At 37.8% G+C, this 26,698-nt stretch overlaps 1 protein-coding gene across 7 annotated transcripts in view, besides 2 other annotated features; it reads right to left on the bottom strand.

Annotated features, from left to right (window-relative positions):
- The window catches only part of GRM1 (glutamate metabotropic receptor 1), a 409,895-nt gene extending 383,450 nt beyond the window's left edge, over positions 1 to 26,445 (bottom strand). For 2 of the 7 annotated variants that reach the window (NM_001278065.2, XM_017010784.2), the window contains exons 1-2: positions 26,324 to 26,445; positions 23,935 to 24,954 (exon numbers count right to left, since the gene is read on the bottom strand). In NM_001278065.2, coding sequence (NP_001264994.1) covers positions 23,935 to 24,634 — 700 coding nt within the window. In that variant the 5' untranslated portion in view covers positions 24,635 to 24,954; positions 26,324 to 26,445. Of the gene's footprint in view, positions 1 to 23,934; positions 25,091 to 26,323 lie in introns of those variants that run through there. The other 5 variants (NM_001278066.1, NM_001278067.1, XM_011535782.2 and 2 more) reach the window with 4 other exon arrangements.
- Positions 24,271 to 24,771: an enhancer, noted in NCBI's record as "H3K4me1 hESC enhancer chr6:146350517-146351017 (GRCh37/hg19 assembly coordinates)". NCBI's record gives its function as "activates a minimal SCP1, AML or CMV promoter by ChIP-STARR-seq in primed H9 embryonic stem cells {active_cell/tissue: H9 hESC(primed)}" and the evidence as "EXISTENCE:reporter gene assay evidence [ECO:0000049][PMID:30033119]".
- Positions 24,772 to 25,272: an enhancer, noted in NCBI's record as "H3K4me1 hESC enhancer chr6:146350016-146350516 (GRCh37/hg19 assembly coordinates)". NCBI's record gives its function as "activates a minimal SCP1, AML or CMV promoter by ChIP-STARR-seq in primed H9 embryonic stem cells {active_cell/tissue: H9 hESC(primed)}" and the evidence as "EXISTENCE:reporter gene assay evidence [ECO:0000049][PMID:30033119]".

Genomic DNA, 26,698 nt, shown 5'->3' with positions numbered 1-26,698 from the left:
ACAAATCATGAGTATCTAAAATTCAGGGGAATATCAAGGTTCTGTAATTTATTGTCCTCTATTTAAGCAGGATTTAAATAATCTATATTAAGAAGTATATCTTATTCATTTTTTATCTCTCATAGTCAATAACTGTTGGATTTAATTAAATGTCAGAAGCAAGTCTTTAGTTTATTGAGATTTAGCTCAGACTGGTACTGTGTAGCTAAGCAAAAAGTAGAGGGTTTCTTTGAAAGTCCTACAAATGGTATTCTCCATACATTATATGGAACCTCCTTATCTCTTCAGTTAAAACTGAGGCACATTCATATACTAATAATATCACGTACATAGTGGTCCCAAATTTGGCTGTGCAGCAGAATTACCTAAGGAGGAAGGGGATTATAAAAATATGAGTCCCAGAACACCATTCCCAGCATGTTTTGCAATATCCCCAGATGTTTCTAATTGCATGCATTTGGGGATCACAGGTGGGGATGAAAGAGCCCTGGACCAAGAACTGGGTTCAGAGATCTGCTGTGCCACAAAAAAACTCACATAACGTTCAGCAGGATTCAGTCCATCAGTCCTTTATTCATCCTTCAAGCATGCATGAAAAACAAACTATTATATCTCGGTTTTTAACTTCCTCATCTGCAAAATGAGGTTCCTGGAATAGATAATCTGAAATCCCTTCAGCCTCTAAGTCGATCCTATAATCTACATTATAATCATCCCACCTACATTTGTCATATATGCCTTACATAAAGTAATTTAAATCAGTTTTAAGCTCTCTATTGAATTAAATTCTGCAAATATATATTGAAAAATATATTATGACCAAGCATAGCACAAAATCAAAGTTCTGGAGACATGTTGGGCAAAACCTTGTACAAAATATTGCTTCTTGTATTCTAAATTCTCAATAAGTATTGTGAAGTGAATGATTTAAAAGAAAGAATAAAAAAATAAAATTTGCTAAACCTATTTGAGCCTTAATTTCCTAAATGAAATAAGCTAGGTACAAAAAATTACTTTTTAAACCAGGGGTATAAAAGAAGTTTCCATCTGAAGGCTAATGATGGATAACTGAGAATGGTGCTGAGAACTATGTTACAGAATCTGGGAGAAAGGGTACCGTAGGTCAATTAGCAATGTCTAGTCACATATTTGTCTTTCCTGTTATAAACATAAAACCCCGGGGTTTTTTTATTTCAAAAATGTATACTTCAAGCTTTTGGGGCATCAGGCATTGTTCTAGGTTCTGGAAATATGACGGTGTCCTGTTAGTAGGTGAGTATAACAACAAATATGTAAAGAATTGCATAAATGAGATAATTTCCAATAGTAGGAAATGGCACAAAGTAAACACAACAAAGCAACAGGATAGAAAGTGAAAGGGGAAGGGTTATACTTTATATAGAGAAGGGATTCCTGAGGAAATGATATTTGAATTAAGATCTAAATGAAAAGAAGCAGCCAGCCACAAAAATAGCTGAAGAAAGTGGATTTCAGCTGGAGGAAACAGCCAACACCAAGGCATTAATGAGGGTACATCCTTCATGTGCTCAAGGATGGCAAGGAGACCCATGGCTGAGTGGGATGGGATAGGTGATACCAGATGATACTAGGCAGACTCACCCTATACATTTGCAATGCTAGACACACTCTTTACCCCTTTCTCTCCCTAACTCCCCATCCTTCTCCCCATGGGAAGGGCTGTGAACACCTGAGTCTGATTTCCAGGCTCCAGCAGAGCCTCCACGGCTGGGGCTGGGCATCTATAGGTTTTAAAGCTCCCTAGATAAATGTAATGAGCAGCCAGAAGTGACAACCAGTGCCCTAAACAAAAATTAAAAAATAAAAACTTAAGTTATAAACAACAGAGAGGCTGAATTTATGGCCCATAAATGACTAAGAAAATGGAATGTAATAAAGTAAATATAATATTGAGGAAAGTTTGGTTACAGAAATTGCTCCCAATCTCTAATTCTTTCCCTCAGACAAATAAAGAACATGTTTTCCTCACAGCCTCACAACTCTGATTTAAAATTTAAAAAAATCCTACTTTGTAATGTCAATTTATTTAAACTAACATTTTCAGCCTATGTACAAGGAGTTGTAATAAGTGCTATATAAATCAGAAGAGATATAAGATATATCCTACTCTCGAGAAAGTTACAAGCAGCATTACAAATATCTGGTTTCAGCCTTATGATCTTGTTGACATGACTTCAGCCTCCACCACCCTTTGCAACTGGTATTTTCTTCCCAGTGCCTTTTCAAATCGCAACCTTGTACAGAGTAGAAGCCATTAGTTTATATAAACCAAGAAGATTATATAAGGGTGCTTGGGAAACAGTAGTGATGATGATTAAAGATGATTCTCAGGAAACTTCAGGAAATGCTATACATATGTTCATAGCTAAAATCCACTAACAATTATGAAATAGGAATAACCTTTGATGTCTTCCAACTGGCCTGTGAAGGACTGGCTCCCCGCTGCAGGCACTACTCTGTCATGACCCCCTAACCACTTATCTGAAAATCTTGAAGTCATAACTGATCATAGCTTTAAGTGCTATATTTTCCAAAGGCATTACCTTTTAACAGGAGCATATTAAACACTGCAAATTTTCCAGATGCAAAGCAGTCAAGGGATGGGAGCAGTTAGATGCCTAAGAGGCTCTCAGTCTATTCTCTATATGAATCTTCCTCTTTTCCCCTTTATCAGTAAATTATGTGCTAGCTCCAGTGTAGGTCTCTGAAAAAGACTTAGGATGAGCACTGTATCATATTTACAGATGGAGGGGAAGTCACTTCCAATAGAAGCTAACCACTGTAGGATACACAATATCAGACCACCACCTTATTAGCTTATGTGTGTATGTTTATGTATTTTATTGAGTTCTTATTATATGCTAGCCATTATCTTGTTAGCTGCATGAGAAGTAAGTACAATTATAATCTCTGGTTTGCAGATTTGAGGAGTAGGTTTAGAGAGTCTCAGTGACTCACCTAAAGTCACACGGCTCTAAGATAGGGTAAGAAAGCAGATGTGTCTGAGTCCAAGTCTCCTTATTAACCACTAATCCCCCTCCTTCATACCCAGACTTTTTATTATGTGTCTGCTTGAACTATAACTACAAATGGAGGAACCAAAATTTAAAAGGCTAGTAGCTCTTTTGGTAAGCCAAAGTCACTGGTAGACCTTCCCAGGAAGGGTTGATTGCAACGCTCTGTTATGAAACCATAGACTCTATGTATCCTCCTCACTGGATCACAGGTTCACAGGTCATCAGCTTTATTTGGTCCAATCAAATGAGCCTAATACCGGAATTCCTTCCACAAAAGCAAATGAACAAACAAACAGGAATCTCATAGGCATATGCCGTAATCACACTAGGGACTAAGTAAGAGAGGCTGGCTTCTGCATGAACTAACACTACAATGGAAAATTAATTGGCAGTGTGTAGATTCTGCTTTGGAGAATGAGCAGCTAAGAGTATTGTCAAATTTCAAAATGCAGTAAACTCCCATTACTAATGCCCTGGAAATTTCCAAAGAGAAGATATAGCTTTTCTTCCCCTCCCCCCTCTTAAAAATATCCCTTGTTTTTAGAAATATGGATATGTTTGTTTCTTTTAATTATAGAATTGTTCTAAATACAGAAGAAAAGAAGGCATGTCTTTTTATCATCATTTCCAGGAGTTACTGTGTTTGAAGGTTTTTCAAGGATCAAGTGTGCTTTAAAACAAATCAGTGTGTAGCTACTCTTACCCTCTGACAATGCCTCCCTCTATCTGTTACTTGCAGCCAAACAGGAGCAAGCTTTAGAGTAGAACTGCCTTTTCTAGAGAGACACACATTTTCTAGAGAGACACACATGAAGAAAACAGAAAAGGAAGACCCAGTGTGCATTTATTTTATCCTTTTCTGAATTGGTAATGAGTTGGGCTATGTCCTTCTGGTTGACAAGAACAGGTGTGTCGAATGCAATATAGCTCCAGGACCTGATTTTTTAAAAAGACTTTGCCCTCACTCATGGTAATACAGTCTTTGCACCGGTTATTTACATTTTCCTTACTCACTTAGACATTAAAAATGCTGACAATATCTAGCTCAAAACTCATAAGCCTGTTTTGAATCTTAGTGTCTCCTTATACAGGAGATTATACGTAGTAATCAGACACTAAGCCTTTGGAATGAGACTGACTGGGTTTGAACCCTGCGTCTGCCACTTTTTACCTGTATGACTTAGATGATCATTTTTAAACTTCCAAGAATAATAATAGTACCTACCTTCTAGGGTTATCGAGAGGACCAAATGAAGCAATGAACATTGAACAATTGCACAGTGTTTGGCACACAATAAATACTCACTCCATGGTACTGCCATCGTTGTTATTTTTTAATAATAATAATTTTGTTAGTCAAGATTCTCTAGAGGGACAGAACCAACATGAGATGATAGATAGATAGATAGATAGATAGATAGATAGATAGATAGATAGATAGATATGAAAGGAGGTTTCATATGGGAATTGGCTCATGCAATTATGGAGGTTGAGAAGTTCCACAGTAACTTGTCTACAAGCTGGAGAACCAAGGAAGCCAGTGATGTGACTCAGTCTAAGTCCAAAGGCCTGAGAACCAGGGAAGCTGATGATAGCATAACCCTCAGTACAGGGCCAAAGGCCTAAGAATCTAGGCAGCTACTGATGCAAGTCCTGGAGTTCAAAGTCGTAAATCCTGGAGTACTGACGTGTAAGAAAAGGAGAAAAGGGGGGTCCCATCTCCAGTTCTATATAGGTCCTTAGCTTATTTCATTATTGAGGGCAGCTCTTCCTTGCTCAACCCATTGATTCAAATGTGAATCTCTTGGGAAATACCCTCATAGACCTACTCAAAAATGATGCTTTACCAGCTATCCGGGTGTCCCTTAATCAAGTCAAGCTGACACCTAAAATTAGCCATCACAATAACATACCTCTGAGTTATATTACCATTTATGAGTAGAAGGTGGTGGTTCACATGGTAGGGGGAGGGTAAAAGTTAAGCAATTAATAGTCGATAAAAAGATGAGCATCAGTTGCACCGTGAACACTAGTTTTTTTTTTAGCACATGCAGAAAGTACCAAAACCTAGAGCAGGTTTTACAATATAATAGCCTCAAAAGAACTGTATTAGTTCTCTAGGGCTGCTGTAACAAAGTAGCATACACTGGGTGGCTTAAACAACAAAAATTTATTCTCTCACAGTTCTAGAGGCTAAAAATCTGAAATTAAGGTGTCGATAGAATTGGTTCTTTCTGACAAATGTGAGGGAGAGTCTGTCCCATGCCTTCTCCTAGCTTTTGGTGGTTGCTGACAATCTTTGGCATTCCCTGGCTTGCAGATGCATCACCCCAATCTCCGTCTTCATCTTCAAATTGTGTTCTTCCTGTGTGCGTGTCTTTTTTTGTATCCAAATTTCTTCTTTTTATAAGGTCACTAATCATGTTGGATTGGGGCCCACCCTAATGATATCATTTTAACTTTACCATTTAAATCACCTTTGTAAAGCTCGTATTTTCAAATAAGCTCATATTATGAGATATCAGGTATTAGGGTTCCAACTTTTTTGGGGGGTGTGGTGGGACACAATTAACCCATAACAAAAACAGAGGGCAAAAATAAGAATTATATTTGAAATGTTTTGAAAAAGCATATGTTTTAATGGTTTTAATGGCATATGTTTTGGAATCACTCAAAAACGCAAAGGAAAATGCTTTAACTCTTAAGTATTACACTTGTGCCAAGATGGCATTATTATGGCAGTAAGAACATGCATCTCTTCCTAAAAGTAAGTCCCAGTGAGGTTTTACATAGGTCCTTCCTAGAGAAACATGAAGCCAAGGAATTCCAATACCCTGGCCAGCCCAAATGTCTATTAGATTGCCTCTTAACAAAACAATATTTGCTTATTCATTCAACAAATATTAATTAAGCACTTTGTGCTTAACCCCATATCAGACCTTACAAAGATATGGAGGAAATCTAAAATATGGTACACGCTGTATGGAGTGCTTTACCTGCTTGTGAATATGTGAATTATGTTCCTTGTTTTCTATGCCTTAAGAGTTGATGAGGCATGGTTCTAAGGATCCAGAATGTGTTCACTAAGGCTGATTTCCAGGAACCCATGCATGCTATTAAGGAGTGACATAAGGAGTGATCTTGCTCTGTCACCAAGGGTGGCATCATAGCTAGGTGTCAGGTGGAAATATGCCTGTTATATGCCATCTTTCATGTGAAACACAATTCAAATTTTCACCCAGTGTCATTCTAGGTTATAACCATTCTTCTGGATTAAGATTTGTCCAATAAGTATGGGCAATAAACCCCAATTCAATAAGTTTCAAACTAAATTCTCCACTAGATAAATGCCATGGAGAAATACACTGCAAAAGGCAGAGAACACAACTTCCCCACATGCAGAAGTGAAGCAAAGTTATCTGTGCATGATGCTAGAGGGGACAGCAGCTTTGGGTGACAGGTGGCATGCCTCTCTGCCAAGAAGAAGGCGTTGCTCCTGGCAGGTTTTTTTTTTTTTTTTCCTGAGGCATGTGACCTAAGTAGTGGCATTTCACAGCTGAGAAACCAGCTTGTGATATGCCTTTTGCTTCACTGAGAGGCGGGCCACATGTCCACAGAGGCTGCAACTCTAGCTGCAAAACATTGCAATAAGTTTGCCTGTATCCTTCTTAAAATCAAATATTTATGTTGCTCTGGAAATGTAAATGGACTGTATGATTAATGATGTTTTTCTAGACAAACAAAGAAGGTGGCTTCCTTGCAAAGGTGTCGCTTTCTAACACAAATGCTACAAGGAGGAAAAAAGAACCCGAAAAATGAGTGGGCAGGAAATGTTAAAAATAAATCCCTATTTATCAGTCTTTGGTAGAAATTTGCAAAAGAGGGTCTACTCTATTTTGACTAACATAGCAGATGGAAGACAAATTCAAACTCTGACATTCTCAGCACTCTGACATCTGGGTCCGCTTTTCCAACCAGCTCCACAACTCTCCTGTAACTACCTTCTGCTCCAGATGAATTAAACCACTCACCATTCTCTGCATACCTGTTAGCACCTTACTCAGATCCCTGATTTACATGATTTTATTGATGTGAGATTATTTTTCCATATAGCTCTGCATTTGTAACACTAGCTATCATGTAAGACCCAGTTTTAATGCCTCTTATTTCAAATACCTACCCAATATCCCTACTGGAAGTAACCTGTCCCTCCCTTGGACCTCACACCCTCTCACAATGATGTGGCAATAATCCTTTCTCTAGCCCTCCATCTGGACTAAAAACAATGGTAAGAACTGCAGGGTACCCATAAAATTTGGAAACATAAAAAATATTATTTTACTGTACTGTAATAAAATATCTGGATAATTTTTTACATATATTTGCTTATGTTACCAAACTTTATTGGCCTCTGCACACCTGGATTCATTTTTAATATCTGATGCCTGGTGCACTGCCTAATAATTAGTAGAGCAGTTTTTATAAAATAAATTGACTAACTTGCTGGCTTACTGATATAAATATGAGGGTTACCCTTCAAGCCCACCTACAAAGAGTAAGGGTGGAAGAAAATCAGACAGTAGGCAGAGCATATGAAGAAATTAATGTCAATGATCAGGAGATCCTTCAGAGGCTGTAGAGAGAAAAAGCTGGGCTACAATGATAGTCATGCATCATGCATCTTGTAGTAACTAGCTGTGTGTAACCCCACATCTAAGCTTTCTTTTCAAATCAAGGACTTAGATACTCTCTTTTAGCATATAATCTATCATTTTAAATAAATGCTGAGTAATAGTGGTTGTTTATAACTTTCTGGTAAATGTAGAGGCTAGGAGGAATTATTAATAATAAAAATGAGAAAATAACAATACAAGCTATAGTAGAATATAATGCAGCTAATTGTATGTATATAAAAGTATACAGTTTCCAAAGTACTTCCACATCAACTATTTGGGTCTCACAGGAAGCGTGTAAGAAAGGCAAAGGCAAGACAGACTCTTTACAGATGAGAAGACAGATGGACTTAAAGCAGTTTCCTGGCTTGTCCAGAGTCATGGAGGTTGTTCTCAGAGGACGTGAGATCAAATCCAGGTCCTCCTACTCAGTACACCTCTTGCTGCCCACGGGCGCTAAAGTGTAAAAGGAAGAGAGGGTACTAGATACCAGTATTCATATAAAGAGAGTGATTGAGAAAAATATAACATCTGTGAGCTTTAATTGCCAGTAAATGTAATGATTTTTCCTTCAATGATTAAAAAGGGAAAAAGGGAAGAGTGATAATAAGTAGAGTCTACCCACAAAACATGCAATTAATTTGATTTTTTTTTTTTTTTTTTTTTTTTTTTTGCTGTATTCCACTTTGGTGAGAAAGAAGCAAAAGAAAAATAATCTACAACAAATTTAGTAAAAACCAAAGACTTCTAATGTTGCTGGTTCTTGGAAGTTGAATAAATAATCGATCATCTTGTTTCATTTACATTTACATTTACAGTACTAGGCACTAAGAATTGATGTGAAGCCCTGTAAGCTCTTAAATCATCAAACCCCTTACTAAGGCAGAAAAGGCATTTGAAACAAAAGCCTTCCATACTTAATTCAATTGAACAAATGTGTACCAAGTGTCTACAGTGTCCGAATCCCTACTTTAATTGCTGAAAAAATATCAGTGAATGAAACAAAACTAAGATCTTACTTTCCAGCAGTTTATATTCCACCAGGACAGATACTTTTTGGGGGCAAAGTATTCTAGCGGGAGAAGGCATTGATGTAACCAGAAATTTGATTAACTACAATGCTACATTCAGTAATTATTCAGGTTAGCTAATGCATATTTTTAAAATCATTAAATGTAAGAAATGAATAGATAAATATCTTTTCTATAATTTTTTAAATTTGCACATTTTAAAATCCATTTTCTGCCTATGTGAGAATCAAACAACATTTCTCTTAAACATATATAAACGATTTTGCAGGAAATAATTCATAAATGTATGGGAAAGCATCTACAATACACTGTCATAAGAAGTAAATTATGAGAAGGGGCTTCCAGAGGTTCTGTCCATATTGCGGTCCAGAAATCAGCAGCATCAATACCACCTGAGAGCCTGTAGAGACAGACGCTCAGGCCCACCCCAGATCTACTAAGTCAGAATCTGTAATTGAAGCTCCCCAGGTGATTTGTATGAACAATAAGGTTTAAGACTCCTTGACTGCATTCCTCTGTACCAAGGAGAGCCTAAAATAACCTTGTAAAAGGCAGAATATAAGCACTTCAAAAAATTAATCACTCACTCGATTTTTTTTCATTTTTAAGAGGCAGTTTCTTTTCAAGTAAGATTTTACTTTTAAAATGGCATATCAAAGATATTTCATACTAAACTTTCCTTTAGCATGTACTGACATAGACCAAAAAAATGAATTTGCCTTTTCATGGTTTCAAATTTGGTGCTTCTAGCCAAAGATTAATTTATCCCTCACATGTATCAACACACAGTACCTCCCTCTATTCTCTGTGATTGAATCACCACCTTATTAACAGGTTTAAGAGACATAGGGTGTCTTCCATTTTCTCATCCTATATCAAGCTCGGTTTCCCAAGTTACATCATGTTGCCCTTAAGGCAAACAAGAATGAAGTAGAAGACAGCATCATAGGTACTGAGCCTACCTAGAACATTCAACAAAACTGGCTGCCAGACTACAAGTAATTATGGCCAGGGAAGTGCATGAGAACACCAGGAGAAGTTAGAAGATGGGTAAAAGCAAGCTTCCTCTCCATTTCTCACTGAGCAGTCACTTTACAAACAGACTCGCCTTTCCCAGATTTTATTTATTTTTATTATAAACATGAGAAAAGGGGAAAACAGGAAGGGAGACTGTTATAAATCCACAGAGGCACCCATATCGAGGTTGAACATGGAAGAAAGACAGAATGTTTCAGCCACACATATGCCCTGTCAAAAAGGGACAAAATGTCCAAACACAGCCTCATGGCAGGTCCCAGAATGCACTAAGAAGGAAATGGCAGGAACAGGTGAGCATCTGAGCCAAGAAAGGAATTTCAAATAATCTGAAAAAGTATGATTCTCTTCTGTTATGTGATCAACACTCAAGGATTCTTCTGTACACACTAGATCTTCTCATCTTTAGCGTATTAAACTATGAGTGTAAGATACCTCCAGTTTCCACAGTTTAAAAAAAAACTTTCCACCTGTCATTACCATCTGCTTCATAGCATACAGAAATTCTGGTTGAGATATACACCTACGAGGAGGTCACTTCCCTTTATATATATATATATATATATATATATATCACCTGACTCTTTCCAAAAATAGAGTTGAGATATTTTACAATTATAAAAAAGTATAAATTAATGCCATTGAAGTAAGGTGGAAGAAGCTAGTATCTATGCACATAAGCTAGAATATATTCTGTGATTGAGCATTAATTTTAGTTTTGAGCTTCCTGGTAGGCAAGAGATAAACAGAAAATGCAATGTTCTCATTACCAATTAAGATGAAACATGTTAGCTCTTTAAGAGAAACAAATACTATCATAACATTTAAATCTAAAAATAATATGTTTCTGATGAATTTATACAAGTTGCATTAAGCAGCACAGGCAATATCTTCAACAAAAAATAGATGAAAATGATAAGCATTGTCTAAATTTTTAATCCCTGTTCTGACCTTTAAGAAATGAAAAAGTAAAATATTAACATGTTACTTAGAAAAGGCAATTCTTCAGGAAGACTAAACAAAGTCAAGTATGTAATATTCTGGAAACCTAATTTTTTTTAGACAAGGTCTCACTCTGTTGGCCAGGCTGAAACACAATGGAATGCATCATTGCTCACTGCAACCTCAAACTCTTGGGCTCAAGTAATCCTCTTTCCTTAGCCTCCACCTACAGGTGCCTCCTACAGGTGCACGCCACCATGCACGGTTATTTTTTAATTTTTTTTTTAGAGATGGGGTCTTGCTATATTGCTCAGGCTGGCCTCAAATTCCTAGCCTCAAGCCTCCCACCTTAGCTTTCCAAAGTGCTGCTATTATATGCATGAGCCACTGTGGGTGGCCCCTGGAAACCTATTTTCATACAGAGAGGTTGGTAATGATCTCCCAGATGACACTGTTAAATATCAGTTCTCTTATCTGGCCCTTTGAGAGGATCTGGATAAAGGATAATTCTTGGCTCTGATCTCTGATGGGCACCTAGTAGCCTTTGTAGTAAATTAAAGAAAGATTTTGGTGTTTTTGGACATTGGGCCAGTAGGTGGCCAAGTTAATTAACTGCTATGAAAGCTGAGACTTCTTGCTTGTAACTGAGGGCTGTACAATAGTGAAGAGAATGTCAAAATAGTATGAACTAACACTACTAGGAATATGTGGTTTCTCATCTCAATTGGCTCCTCTAAAAATATGCTCTATTTGTATTTGACCTGTTTCTTCTCTCTTTCCATTTCCCTCATTGAATAATTCAGAAAATAAAGGCTACCAAATGTTGTTTTCAAATACTCTTTTCTCCTCTTTCCCGAACTTCACTACATCACCACGCAGAGAAAAGGCTTCTGTTCAAGGCTAGCCCTGCCACAGCTTTGTCGTGGCTCCTCAGCAACCTTGCTTGATCAATTATCTTCAAATTTTCCTTTTCTACTCACTCTTTTTCATCAGCCTTTAAAACTGCTTAATTTTTTCCCCTCCTAAAGGATTATTTTACTTAGAAGTACATCTCTCTGTAGTTATCATTGGATCTCTCATCTCCCTTTCTCAGGAACAAGGATGCATATTAGCAGCCTCCACTTCCTCCTGGCTTCTGCCCTTCCAATTGATTTATAAACTGACACACTACTGGAAAGACAGAGCTAGGAGGAAGTGGAGGCTACTTGCTATGGTCTGAACGTCCCCCAAAATCCATGTGTTGAAATTTAATCCCCATTGTGGTGGTATTAAAAGATAGAGACTTTTGAATTTGATTGAGTCATTGAGGGCCCTGCACTCAAAAATGGATTAGTGCCTTCTAAAACAACTGGAGAGAACTAGCTTAAGCCTCCTTTGCCCTTTTGTTCCTTCCACCATGAAGACACAGAGTTCATTTCTCTGGAGGATGCAGTAACAAGACACCATCTTGGAAGCAGACAGCAGCCCTCACCAGACACCAAACTTGTGGTGCCTTGATCTTGGACATGCCAGTTTCTCCAAAACTGTGAGAGAATAAATTTCTATTATTTATAAGCTACTCCGTCTATGGGTATGACATCACCAAAATGGTGGAGTAGAAGAAATATGCCTTCCATCTTCCTCACAGAAAACCAAAAACAACTATCTAGTGTCAAGATTATCATCACCAATAACCCAGAATTCGAAGCTGAGGCTGTGAAGATCCTTGAAGCCACAGAGAAGTGAAAAATTGTGAGCAGAAGACAAAGGAGATACCGAGTCAGAGAGGAGGTTCAGCAGCACCACATTGTAGGAGGCACATTCATGAGTCTTCTGGGCATAAACTCCTAGTCAGCCTCCCAAACAGCAGAGAAATTCTCTTGGAGACCCCTCTCCCCAATCCAGAATGGGCAGTGCTTCCAACTTGTGTGAGAGCTGTGGGAAACCTGGGCCTAGGGCACCATCTAGTGCCAAAATAAAGGCAGCTGTCTAGGGCTAAGGGGACTCAACAGGCAACCAGCATAGAACCTGTAAATACACATCACTAGACAGACCACACCAACACAGGGAATGAAGACTGGGATAAATAACTAACCTTTCAATAAGACACAGATATCCATTCATAAAAAACACCAGCAAACAGGGAGCCATAACCTTCCCAAATGGGTAAAGCAAGGAGCAGTGGCTGACTCCAATGAGATGGCAATATGTGAGCTCTCAGGTCAATAATCCGAAATAAGAATTCTAAAGAAACTCAGTGAACTCCAAGATAACACATAAAAGCAATTTATAAAGTTATCAGAGAAATTTAACAAAGAGATTGAAATAATTAATTTACAAAGTTAAACAGAAATTTTGGAGTGAGAAATACTTTAGTTGAATCAAAAAAAATGCATCAGAGGGTTAAAACAGCAGAACTGATGAAGCAGAGGAAAGAATTTATGAGCTTGAAGACAGGTTATTTGAAAATACATTCAGAGGAGAAAAAAGAAAAAAAAAGAAAAGGAATAAAGAATGCCTCTGAAATCCAGAAAATAGCCTCAAAAAGGCAAATCTAAGAGTCATTGGCCTTCAAGAAGGAGTTGAGAAAGGGCAAGTGGTAGAAAGATCACATAAAGAAATAATACAAGAAAACTCCCCAACCCTAGAGAAAATATAAATCTCTAGGTACAAGAAGGGTAGAGAACACCACACAGATTTCACCCAAATAAGACTACCCCAAGGCATATAATAATGAAACTTTCAAAAGTTGATAATCCCAAAAGGAGCAAGAGAAAGGAAAACAACATATATGAGCTCCAATTTGTTTGGCAACAGACTTCTTAGTGGAAACCACAGGCCAGGAGGGAGCAGGATGACAAAGCACTGAAGAAAAGAAATTGTCAACTGAGAATACTGTACCCAGCAAAGCTAACTTTCAAACATAAAAAAGAGATAAATACTTTCCCAGGCAAACAAAAACTGAGGGAATTCATCACCCCCAGACCTTTCTTAGAAGAAATGCTAAAGGGAGTTCTTCAATCTGAAAGAAAAGGACACTAACATGCAATAAGAACATCATCCGAAGGCATAAAATTCACAGGTAAAAGTATAAAAATTCAGAACATTCTAACACTGTTGTTGTGGCATATAAATTACACAGTCTCATGTATCGCTACTAGTACAGAACACTGTTTCTATAGTTCTTCCTCTTTTACCCATCAGCTTTCTTTGTCACTGTTCTATTATCAAAACTGTCTCCTCCATTGGCTTTCATAACATGAGGTTCTTCCTGTTTCTTTTTCTACTTTTTAAACTGTCCTTTTTCCCTTTTCTGTAGACTCTTTCTCATTTCACATGCCTTAAAGTACTGCCCTTGACCATCTTTTTGTGTTTTATATCTTACCCCCTTGGCAATCCCATCAATTTTCATGGTTTTAACCAGATATTTTCTGACAAATTTCAAATATAACTCTCTTTCCAGATCGGTGGCCTATGGGATCCCTTGACTTTATTGTCCAATGGATACCACAAACTCAAACAGCCTAAACTAATTTTTTCCCAGTCTGCGATTTCTCTTTATTCCCTATTTATTCCTACAAAATAGACCTGCGGCTTATTCTAGACTTCTCTTTTTCCTTGATTCTCATAACCAATCATTCACTAAACACTAACCTCCCTGCTACATAGAAAGTCAAATTCATTCTCCTCTATCCTTTTCCATTGACACTTTCTTTAGTAAAACTCTAATCATCTCTTGACAAAATTAATTAATTGAACTGGCCTTTCCTTCTCCACTTCCCTCAACCATCAATGGCCTTCAGATTTGTCTCCTAATTTCCAATTTGACTCCTTTTCTTAATCTGTCTTCTCCAAAGCTTTCCAGATGCCCTTTCCAAAATATAATCTGATCTTGATTTCTTCCTGCATAAAATTCTTCACTGGCTCACCATGTTTCCAAGAGTCTAATTTTCTTGGCTTGATAAGTATGTCCCATCATGACCTAGGCTCTTTCTCTCTTTTCAGTTTGGTCTTCCCCACTCATTTTCCCAGGACATATACTTTAGAGTTAATGATATTCTTAGAGGTCCCTGAGCATATTTTGCTTTCTATGTCAGTGCTTTTACTGAATTTACTCCTTTGTTTCCTCGGATATAGTGAACTTCAGATGTCACCTTTTCTGGGGACCTTCTATGAGCTTTCCCTCACTGCTTCCCTGGACCAGAGGGAGCTAATCACAGTTCTCTCTGTTGTCTCTCTACCTCATGCCTACTCCTATGGTTGCACTTAGCAAAACTGAATAGTAATCACCATGTGGTGAACTTCTTAAAAGGAAGACTATAATTCCACTATCTCTACTCCTCAATGACTATAGCATTGGTCAAACCAAAGAATGTGCTACAAAACATAAAAATTGAGATAGGAATCTGGACATGACTTCTTCTCTGCCAGTAGAGTAGTACCTGTTAACCAAAACCTGAAAATAACAAATAATGTATTTATTTATCGAAAAAAAAGGATATTGAATTTCTTTATTATAAGCTGTTTCCACTATTTCAATATCCTGATATAACCTTTTAAAATCTTTCATAAAGTTTTTTTCTCTTGAACATACTATCAGCAATTTGTTTATTGATTTTTTTGTTCTACCTTTTATAACAAACAAATTATAAAATGTGTTATAGCACCACAGAGAACAGAGGAAACTGTCTCTGATTGTTTAACAATAGCTGTGGAATATGCTGTCCAATCAAAAGATTTGCATTGAGGGCCACATGCTGTGAGTGCAATTTTTATAAAGGGAGAGAATGAGAAGTTGAATATGCGCCACTCAGTGTTAGTAAATCAGCATTTTCCCTCTTTATTTTCACATCTCCACCACAGAACTTCCCTGTATTTACTTCACACAGGCTCATCTAAGCTAAGGGCATCTTCCTAATTAAGGTTAGAATAGCATGACAACAATAATGACATCTTACATCTATTACATCTACCTAGCCCTATATGGAGCACTGTTGCATCTTATCTGTATAATAAACTTAGGGGACTGTTTTCTGTATACTTCACCCTGATAGCTCTCTAAGCATGCCTAATTCTATTAATCCCTTGAGTCAATCCTATTCCAGATCTCTGGATTTCAACTCTAGCCACCCTTCTCTAATTTTCTCATCCTTATCCACTCCATACCACTTCTAGTTACTTGTGGTAGAGATGGTGTCACAGAGATGTCTGACCATGTGTCATCTCCCACTGTTAACCACAACCCTCATAGAGAAGGCATCCTTTCTTCTTTCATTTTAACAAGGTGTTTAATTCTGGTCTTATTTTACATTTCTGCCCTGAAGGAGCTGGAGAAAAAAAAATGGTTAATTCATAATCTCCTGAAATAGAGCTTCATGTGGAGCAGTCACTCTACATTGAAAGTTTATTTTCTCTGCGAAAGGACTTTTATTACAAGATGATAACAAGCACAAATATGGAGGTAGAGTTGCTCAGATGCAGAAGGGAAACCAGATCAGCTGAGAAAATGGCTTTATTCAGACCTTCCAGAGAAATGTGGAGAGCAGGTGAGGTGGGAGCAAAAGAAGTTGAAGAAAAGGAGAGGCTTCTATTTTTCAGTGACTTTCTCATGTTTAAAAATTTATAAATAAAATAGTTATTGGCAAGGCCAGGGTACCAGATTGTGGTCAGGGTAAGTGGGTTGCTAAAGAGAAGGCAAGGAACACAGAGCTGAGATCAATGAGCTATGAGGATAGGTATTGGTGGGACAAACACATGAATGTTGGAGTCATCCAAAACTAAGGTAAGAGCTGACATTAAGAGGAAGACTAACAGCAGAGTGAGTTTTCAGAAGAGGAATCTCCTAGAAGCTGCTAAATGACAGCAGCAAAGTTGGAAAGACACAGTTGAGCTAAATAGTATGGACCTCACATGAGAGGCGTGCATGAGGGTTAAAAAGGAAAGAAAGAAAGAAAGAAAACTTTGGCTTGAGAAAGTATCTAAAACAAAGCTAAATTAGTCCTAGCTTTGCTGCTGATGAATTTTATGATCTTGAGCAAGTCATTTTGTTTTATTTTTCTGGGCTTTTGTTTTCTCATTTGTAACAAGAAAGTTTCCTAAAGTCTATAGTAGATGCTACACCTTTATCTTAATCATGAATTTCATTTTAATCTTATATTACTAGGTTTAGGGTCGAAAATCTGTATCCAATTAACTGGCTTCTTGGACTTGCTTAATATTCATCAGCTGAGAAGAAGTCATCGCTTTGGTGGCAGTTTAAGAAAAACAACTGAAATGTATTTATGGGTACCATCTTCTTGTTCTTTGAAAAGCTGCTGTGAGGAATATAACATGGTAGTGATTATAATTCCCATTTTACAAATGAAACTGAGATGTGCATGCATACAGTATTTCCCATATGTTTTGTGCATTTTTCAAAACAGTAATTAAACATTTTCTTTTTAACCCATGAGCCTATAACTGTCTATATATTTACATGTCTCTTCCAACAAATATTAGTAGTAATAATAGTTATTATTATTGATTTTTATTACTTTATGTGTTACTAGCACCAAGAAAAATATGTGATGCATAATAGTCACGTGTTTATTTATAAATGTCTTTATTAGAAGGCAAATTAGTTACTAGGTAATCAAAGAATTTCTGCCTATCAAAATCCTGTGCTTCTACTACAAATTAAGGCTTTTACCTGGATATTTAGATAATTGCCTTGAATATTTAATTTGTTGGCTATGAAATAAATAAAATAGATAATCCTAAAATTGATAATTGGAGATTTCTGAGAAGCAATTCTCTTCATAAAAACATTAATGTTCTATTTGGTACTACAATGCCTTAAGTTTAAGAGAGTAAAGCTTTCTGGAATACAGAAGGTAATTAAAATTATAATTTCTCATGTAAGTTAAGATTTTAAATGTTGTAGACATTCATAGAGAACAATTAAACAGGAAAAAGTAGCAAATATTTCTATATAATTTTAGAATCTAATGATAACTCTCTGTTGCATAAGACAGTGACATTTTGACAAGGCTTTATGCCTTGTCTTGACTCTGGTTTTCAACTACAGCTTCTCTGAAAATTGACAACTTTCTCCTACTGACATGCTGTTTCCAACATATATCAGAACAGCATGTGCCATGAGTTTTTTTAGTGGTTGTAGGTGTTCACCAAACTATTCTTTTCTGGATGTGGTTCCCCAGCCCTCTGTGTTCTTAAAAAAGTGTATGCCGAAAACACGACTTTTGATAAGTCTCTTTGTGAACCCATCACTCCAGTCACTGCCCAGTTACTGAAAATCCACAAAGCAGTTATTGTATATTAGCTCCCTATATCATAAGGGCAAAAATTTTAATACTTGTAGAAGGATGGCTACTGCCAAGCCACACGGTAGAAACATAAAATGGAAGCTGCCATCACCACCTACCCTATGAAGGACAGCTTCTTATAAAATTTGCAGCAAGATAAACGTAGTCACAGGGTGATTGTGTGGCAAAGGAATCACAAAGAGTTCAAGTTTACTCAAAATAATGAAAGTGTCATTTTTTTCGTCTTTGGATTTCACTCTAATTCTATGCACATAATAGCTGTTTGCTAAATACTGATTAATGACTTTAAAAATGAGTTTAATAAATCCAGCCAAGATATAAAAGAAAAAATAAAGATAAAAATTTTTAAGTATGGCAATTTGTGGCCATTTTGAGTAATAATAAATGGCCTTATATTTTTTTAACAGGCTCCAAGATTACCACCATATTCCAGCGCAAGGTAAAAATTTATGTTCACGATAACTTGGTATATTCAAGGAAAATGTCCATTAAATTGAGCACTGTCTTTAAAAGAAGTTAGGGGACCTTACAGTAGTGTTTGCAAAGATCACCTCATAAAATGTTTTAAATGTAAATGTTGGTGTTTAAAGAGACCAACTCTCAAGTATAAAGTAGACAGCTAGAGAATCAAGGTTATGGATAAACAAGGTTTTACTTGGATATGAACACTTGTTAAAAAATTACAAATAAAGTATCTCGTAACAATATCTGGCTTTTCTTTCGTCCACTCACCAACTTTTGCCAATAATATATGTTCTCTTGGCCAAAGTTCACATGTCTAACTGTGCTTGGATGTATCTTTCTTGAAACCAAAACTCTTTGTCACATGCTTCAAGATTCTCCATTACTTGTCCTTCATGTCTATAAAGACTGATGTAATCACAGAATATTAGGACTTACTTCTGTTTTTATTATTAGTTCTTACCCCAGACTCTTTCCTCCAGATAAGCAAATCTGTTTTTTTCACACCATTACAGTACTTTCAATACTGTCTCTTTTACAAATGCTATGTTTCCAAACAAAACTCTAACCAAAATTCCCTTTTCTCCAGGTTTTCTCTAGATAATTGCACCACTAATACATTCTTTCAGTTCCCTACAATTGAATAAACTCATGTTTATAAATGTCTATACTGTGATTGCTTTTACTTACTTTACATGTATTTAAACTGCACTCCCCTTAAAGTAAAAACTACTTAGTAACCGAAATTAAGTCTTCAAAATTGTTATTTAAAGTTTTTATGCAGTAAATCTTTACTTAAAGTCATCTGTTGTGATGACTTTTCATTTAAACTACATATAGCCATTTATACATTTGCAAGGTAGTATAGTAAGAGGAGGAAAAGCACTGTATAGAAGAAATTCATAATAGGCTGAGTGAACACCAGAATTAGCCAGGTAGTTTGCTCGTGAAAGGGTTTGAGACTTTACTTTCGACCCTTATCTTATTCAGGTTTTAACGTATATGGTTAAATCCTGGAGACACAAAGCTGGAATACTAAGATAAATTAAACAATCAAAATCCCAGAACTTACTGATGTTAGAAAGGCAGATTGAAGCTAATAATTTTACATTTAAAGGGAAAAAATTCAAGTCCTCCTCTTGAATCTAATGGTAACAGTAACAAAATTAATAACTGTTCAAGCATAAAAGGAAGGAGATATGGATTAATAGCAGCACTTCTGAAAAGACCTTGGGATGTTAATTGATGTAAGATCTACTCTAGTCAGCTATGATGGTAAGGGAAGTAAAAAATGAAATGCATGAGTGAAGGAACTGGAGAGCTACACTACAAAAGAGAGATTATTCATTGATGATAAATGTCACATGGAAAAGAAGCTTGAATGTTTTGGATGACTCCTAGTCTTCAATGAAGGATTGGTGGAAACTTCAAGAAATCTGTTTTAGGTCATTACATAGAAGAACTGACTAAAAGTCAGGTGAAATTCTGCTCTCAATTTAACTCCGATATACTCCTACTCTAATTAGAAACCCTAATCACAATTAGAAAGCTTTGAGCGTGGGCAAGCACGTAATGTGATGTTCTAAGCATCTTTTATTAGTTGGCCTGAATAACCTTTCAAAACACTCCTATTTCTTACTATATGATAAAATGAGCAATGTATTAAGATAATTTCCTTTGAAGTAGGTTGCAATCAAGACAAGAAAGATATATAGAAAGTTACTGGTACATAGATAGGAAATATGATATTTAGTAGATATAAAATTATTACAGGTAATTGCATTAATCAAAGTATGTATTTATGACTTAGGAGGACTTTTTTCTGATGTCATTAGACTTTTTAATTGTTTTATATCAAATAAAAAAGTACTTAAAAAGGAAAAAATCAGATTTTGGAAAGAAGCTCAAAAAGGCCAATTTTATATAAAATGTAAGCAAATGTCAAAAAAATGTCACACCAAGATCAAAATCTAACTGGAAAGAAAAGTTTACCTTAAAGTGGATATTTTAATAAGGGAAGCAGCATCACTAAATTCATTATTATATCAATACTTATCTAAGTAACTGAGACAAAATACTAGAAGAAAGGCTTAAGATAAATAAATAAATACATAAAAGTAATGAATGAAAATTTATCCACTCAAAAAAAATTCTTGTAGCTACATACTCAAAGAACATTTTTATTGGACTTGTTCAATGCTTTGAATTTTATTAACTACAGTTATTTTTAAGTACTGTTTTCAAAAATCATTTGAAATAATAAATTTGTTTTTTTGACGGGGAATCTGTATTTTATCAGAAGAACAAAATATAGTGTCCTTGGCTGAGATATTCTTATCAGTGGTAGGCTATTTCTCTACTATATACTTAGCATATTTAAAGACTCACATTCCAGGTAGGCAGCTTGCTCCAAAGTGCATTCAAACTTTATTTGTGGATAAGGCTCCATTACTCCAATATCCTGCCTCCCCCTTGACAGGCTCATCTTAACATTTGCCTCCAGAGCTAATCATGAACAATTTCTGGAGAGTCTATTGCATTGCAGGTAACTTTATGTGTACTGATTTTCTTTCATTTTATGTAAATTGATAATTGTCATGTATCAAGTGTGGTACAAATAATATGATATAAGATTGAAAAGAATGTAAGAGAATATAAAAACTAAATTGTAACTGGTTAAAACACAAAACAAAACAGAAAATATCTGCAAGTTTAGCTTCAATATAAAAAAAAGTAATATAAAAACAACTGTACCATTCAAAAACAATATGATTTCAAGATAATCTCACAATTAACTACAGAAATGAAGGTACACTAGTCCAGTCACTTAGTGCTTTTGGTATTAACTATTCTTGGTTAACTTCTAATACAAGAAACGATGATAATGAATTGACTAGGGAATGGCTGATTTGGAAAGGAGAGATGAAGGTCACGAGAGGCCCCAGAATTTCTAAGCCCTAAGTTGCCAATATCCAGACAAACTGGCTTCCTTGCTGAATAGTGCTCAGACGACAGAGACAACCCTGATATGTGGTCTTCTCTGCTATTTGACAGGGAACTGTCACCAATAAGCGACCCCATCAGTCTGAAAGCAGTAAAATTACTAAATGATCCAAGGAAGTGCCTGTAGGCCAGTACACTATGGGGCCCTGAAAAGCAGGAGGGCAAAACCTCAGGAAAAATGAATCTTCAGTGGGACCTTACACAAAATTCCTTTCCAGATAGAAGGAAAGAAATGCAATTTAGTTTTTACAGATGTTACGTTTAATAAGAGAAGTAACTAATTCCCTTTGAGAAGAAACAAGGTATTATATATGAATGGCAAGGTGAATGGTGTAACTGCTTGGTAATAAAATAAACCCCACATATTTCTATGATGCTGTTCTGTGAACACAATGTAGTCTGGAATCAATTACTATAATAGTACGGAGACATTGTCTTTGCCATACAACACCAATCAGAAGGCAGAAAGGAAACATAGTAATCCAAACTAACACATGGGCAAAATTATAATATTAGTCCTTTCGCAGCAAAATTAGTGAAAACATGTTCAATTCATTTTCCAAAAACATAATTCTACTCCTCAGAAAGCAACCCACTATTAGCCACCTCTCACCAAATAAAACAATCTTATAATGAAATATGGAAAATAAAACCACTGTTTAAAAATAATGAAGCATTACTTCTTCCTGAAGAAAGAATTTATACTTCCAATATTAATAATCAATTATCTAGCTCAATGGGGGAAATATTATTAAATATTTAAATAAATCACATTCAATCTAGATTTTGCCATTCTCTTTGCCATCATCTTTGGATCTATCCAATGATGATATTTAACACATTTTAACTTGCTCTTTCAGGATGTTTCATTTAAGCAAGCACTAAAGAAACTATGCTAAACATTAACATGTAGTAAAGTTAAATATTAAAATATAAGGAATTAATACTTTGAGTCTTAAAAAAGTAATGAATTTTTGTTCAAAAAGAGATACGCAGTTCATGATTAAAAATCAAGCTTCAGAAGCATAAGTCAGTTATTATAAAGTTATAATATCACAGCAGATAGTTTTTTCCAAAAGCAAAATCTGAAATTATAATGTGTAATCCTATATCATTTATGTTTGTTCTGAAAATTCTGTTCCCTTTATAAAGTATATGTTTTCAATAATGATAACCATATAATCACTTCACTATGGATGCTGTCAATTTCTATAATCAGACCTCACGCCAGTAACTGAATATTATGGAAATATTAAAAAAACATGGAGCCATGCCTATGGCTTCTTGAAAGTCATTTGAGTTGAAGAAATATGAATACAGAAATACCAGCAAGATTGTCTTCTTCTGCCAGCTTATACATGTGAATTGTCCTAGATGTTAATTTATAACCAGGGCTTCAGCTTTTTCATAAACCTACTGGGGGACTTAAGAGTAGCTGAGCTCAGAAATCCCCTTTTATTAAAAAATGTATATAACCTAAGGTGAAGAGAGTCTAGAAAATCTTTATATAAAAAATTTTTGAAAATTCACATCCATAAGTCTCTGGAAAAATCAAAGCTTTTAACCTTAGGTTAATCTATTGCATTTTAGAAAGACATTATAAACCTAATATCTGCTATCCATTCATTAGTATTTTATAACTGATCTAACTTTAATTCTAATATGTAAGTTCATTGTGTTAGAAGAAAAAAGACTAGAAACCAAAACTCAAATCCAAGTGGTCACCAGTGTTATTTCTCATAAAACAAGATAATTCTTGGGGGAGTGAGGGAATCTGGATGATTTTAGCCTATAAAGTAAGAAGAAAATACATTATTTAAATTACTTACTTTTTCTTTGTAACTAAGGTACTCCAGAAGTAAAAATATAAGTTTCTGATATACTGAGGGAGATGACTGCATTAATCCTACATTCACAGGAAAGTTTTGGATATGTAAGAAGGGGTACAAGAGGACAAAGAAAATCTTCAACTGTTAAAGAAAGATAAAGCTTTGAAGTCCTATTTGTGGAATAGTAACTTCTTTTTGCCAATCACTCACACTGAATTAACTCATTACACCTGGAAAGTCATAGCCAGTCACTGAAGGGCAATATAACACCTTGGACAAATAAGCCTTCCAAACGCAAACTCAAAATATGAGGGCAAACAAGTATTCAAGTCAAATCTACTGCTGGACACTTTGCATGGAAAGTTTGATACCCTTTCAGCTCCTATTATCCTCAGATATTCTATGGGGTACAATTTTCCTACACTATAATTGTAAGGAAATGAGGATAAAAGGCAATGCCTGGGTGGGCAGTACTGAGAAGGGTAAACTCCGTTCCCCACAGTGCTAGAAATAAACAGGAACAATACTATGATCCCAGGAGCACATCATGCATTGCCCTGACTTTCTCAGTACCCTTCTTTCCCAAATATAATGCCTACCTTCCGTGTGGACTGCAGAGACATAGGTCCAATTGTAACGTTTGACTATGTCAAGCATGGCCCTTGCCTGCAAAGTGTCAGAAGGGACAACCCTCAGGAAGTATTTGTACAAAGTTTTGTCACTCAGGTCGATGCTTGTGGCTGAATAAGCGATCTGGGGGATGTCGAAGAGCTGGAGCAGGTTCTGCACTTGAATGGCTACAGAGCTGGAGCCGGGACCGATCACTCCCGCAATGGGCTTCTTAGTCCTGCCTGGGGGGAGGGACTGGCCGTCAGGCAGACACCGGTTGATCCCATCCTTCTCATCTCGAATGGAAATCAGAGAGTCCCTAATGAACTCAATGCTCTGTTCCAGAGCCACGGAAGAGTGCCAGCAGGAGTCCCGGATCTCACTGCCCAGGGTGATGTTGGGCAGGAGGACCGGGTCCGCGTTGATCTTATCCAACGTGTGGAACATGGCCTCCACCCTCTGGATGCCATACTGCTCCCTGATCTCCCCACACTTCCTCTCGGGCACTTTCTCGGCCGGAGGCTGGTGATGGACTGAGAAGAGGGCTCCAATGATGACATCTCCGTCCATTCTGGCCACCGAGCGCTGAGACGACGCTCCTGCCAGCAACACTTTCCTGCCGGGGCTTCTGGGGAGAAGGGACACCTCCAAAAAGATCGCTGGGAAAAAAAACAAAAGGAGCCCGACCATGGTGGTGAGGACGAGGTCCACAGCCTGCCAGCCGCGTTCCCACGCTGGTCCCGCTGCAGGCTCCCGGCGCGCACCCCCAAGACGCCCAGCGCCGCCTCTCCCGGAGTGGTGCCCCTCGCCAACAATGGTCGTCCAAGGCCTTTGCCTCCTCCACCACCGCCTCCTTCCCCTTCGTCTCCTCCTCTGGGTCCTCCACGACCGCCTCTACAAGCTGGAGGCGTTTGTAAGGGAATTCGAGTCCCCGTTCTTCACCGGTAGTGCATCAAGGTAAATTGATCAAGAGTACAGTGGAAGTCGTGTTGGCAGCGGTGAGCTAGATGCTGCTGACAAAAGACAGAGAAAAATCACAACCTTGTCATCAGAGGACCTGTGTTAAAACTCTGGGGTCTATAATGTTAACAGTTGCCTTGTCCGTTTCATTTCGGCACATCCTGATATCGGCTGCAGGAACAGCTTGGAGCGCAGCTGTGGTCACTGAGGAAGGCGGGGTGTCCTGCCCCCTCTGTCCTCACGGGTCCAGGCGGCGCAGAGCCCCGCCAACTCGCCCGCTCCTCCAACCTTAAGTCGTTTCCTGGTCCCCTAAAACCTATCATGCTTTCTAACTTGGAGGGCGGTGGGGAAGGTGAGCAGAGAGGAGGGGAGGAGCTAGGTCCTTCAACCCAAGAGAACTTTCCGGATTGGAAAAGATCAACTTTTTTTCAGAAGAAAATTTGGAAACTCATTGTAAAGGTGGAAGCGCGACTTTAAAATAAACGTAAACAAAGGATGCACCTTTTACTTTAATTTTGAGGGGTTGAAGAAGCCCTGACATAAAATCAGCTGTAAATATAAATTTGCCAGCTTGAAGAAAATCCACATTAGTTACTAAGGCAACGCCTGGTAAAGTCTCCGTATGGAGGAGTTTGGTATGTTTCCCCCGTAAGAAGTCAGGCTTGCTGTGTATGTTCAAGAAGAAGGGGTGCAGATAAGGTAACTTGTTTCCCGCGGTGGGTGGACGGGTTAGGGGGGGTCCTGCGCTTGCTTTGGGGTTTGCATAGTTGCTAGAAAGGGAACGGAGGGGAGCTTCCGGGTTGCTCTCGCCGCGGCAGCCTGAGCCCTGCCGCCTTCAGGACCCTGGACAGTGCTCGGTCCAGCCAGACATTCCCTGGCAGGGCCTGCAAGGGACGCTTTGACCAGTGAGTTGCAATTCCCTGACCCGCTTTGCTCTTTCAACCTCCCTCCTCTGAGTTCTTTACCCATACACACACACACACACACACACACACACACACACACACACACACACTCCCTTCCACTCGAGTCCCCACCGCCCCTCCGCCCTCATTCTCATCACCTTGCACCGCTTGTGCAGGTATATATCCAAACCCACCCGCTTGGGGACAGAGGCGCCAAATCTCAGCCGCCTGCGGGGCTGAAGTTGGCTCCCTCTCCCGTTCCTCCCCTGCTCCTTTTCTCAAGGTGAGAGTCGACGAAAAGGGGGCTATGGGAGCGGGCGAGGAGAGCACAGGAGGTGAGGCAGAAAAAGGAGAAAGAAAACCCAGGCACCCATTGGTCCCGACTCTTCCTGAGGATACAGGACGAAAAGAAATACATAAGCGAGAATGCGCCTGGGACCCGGAGGAAAATCTGATAGACTGGGACTTTGTCTGCCGTTGTGGGTGGGTTTCACCGGAGGAAGTGTCCGCTCACCTGAGTCTGTTTGGAGGACATGGACTTGAGACATACCTGAGTACCTGAGTCGGGGTAGACAGCGCTATGGTCCCGGGGCCAGAGGACCGTGGCCACGCTCGGCTTGCAGACGCCTCAGCTCTAATCCAGACGGTGCAAGGATGCGATCTGGGCTGTACACTAGTGCCCTCTTTCTTCAGCACTATTTTACCGCAAGGGAAAAAGAGGGGGAGGGAAGAAAAAAAAAAACAGGTCACCCAAGGCTTGTCTATTATCTCATGTATAAAAATCAGTCGTTTGATAGAGGGAGGAGGGGAGACAAACTAGGAGGAAGTGGGGAATATTAATTCCTTTACTATATGAGGGGTCGTATAGAAGCTGCCAGATACGTGAATA

The sequence above is a fragment of the Homo sapiens genome, chromosome 6, assembly GCF_000001405.40.
Source record: "Homo sapiens chromosome 6, GRCh38.p14 Primary Assembly".
NCBI lineage: Eukaryota > Metazoa > Chordata > Mammalia > Primates > Hominidae > Homo > Homo sapiens.
The sequence above is the reverse complement of the archived record's forward strand: the minus strand, read 5'-3'. Positions and strand labels throughout refer to the sequence as shown.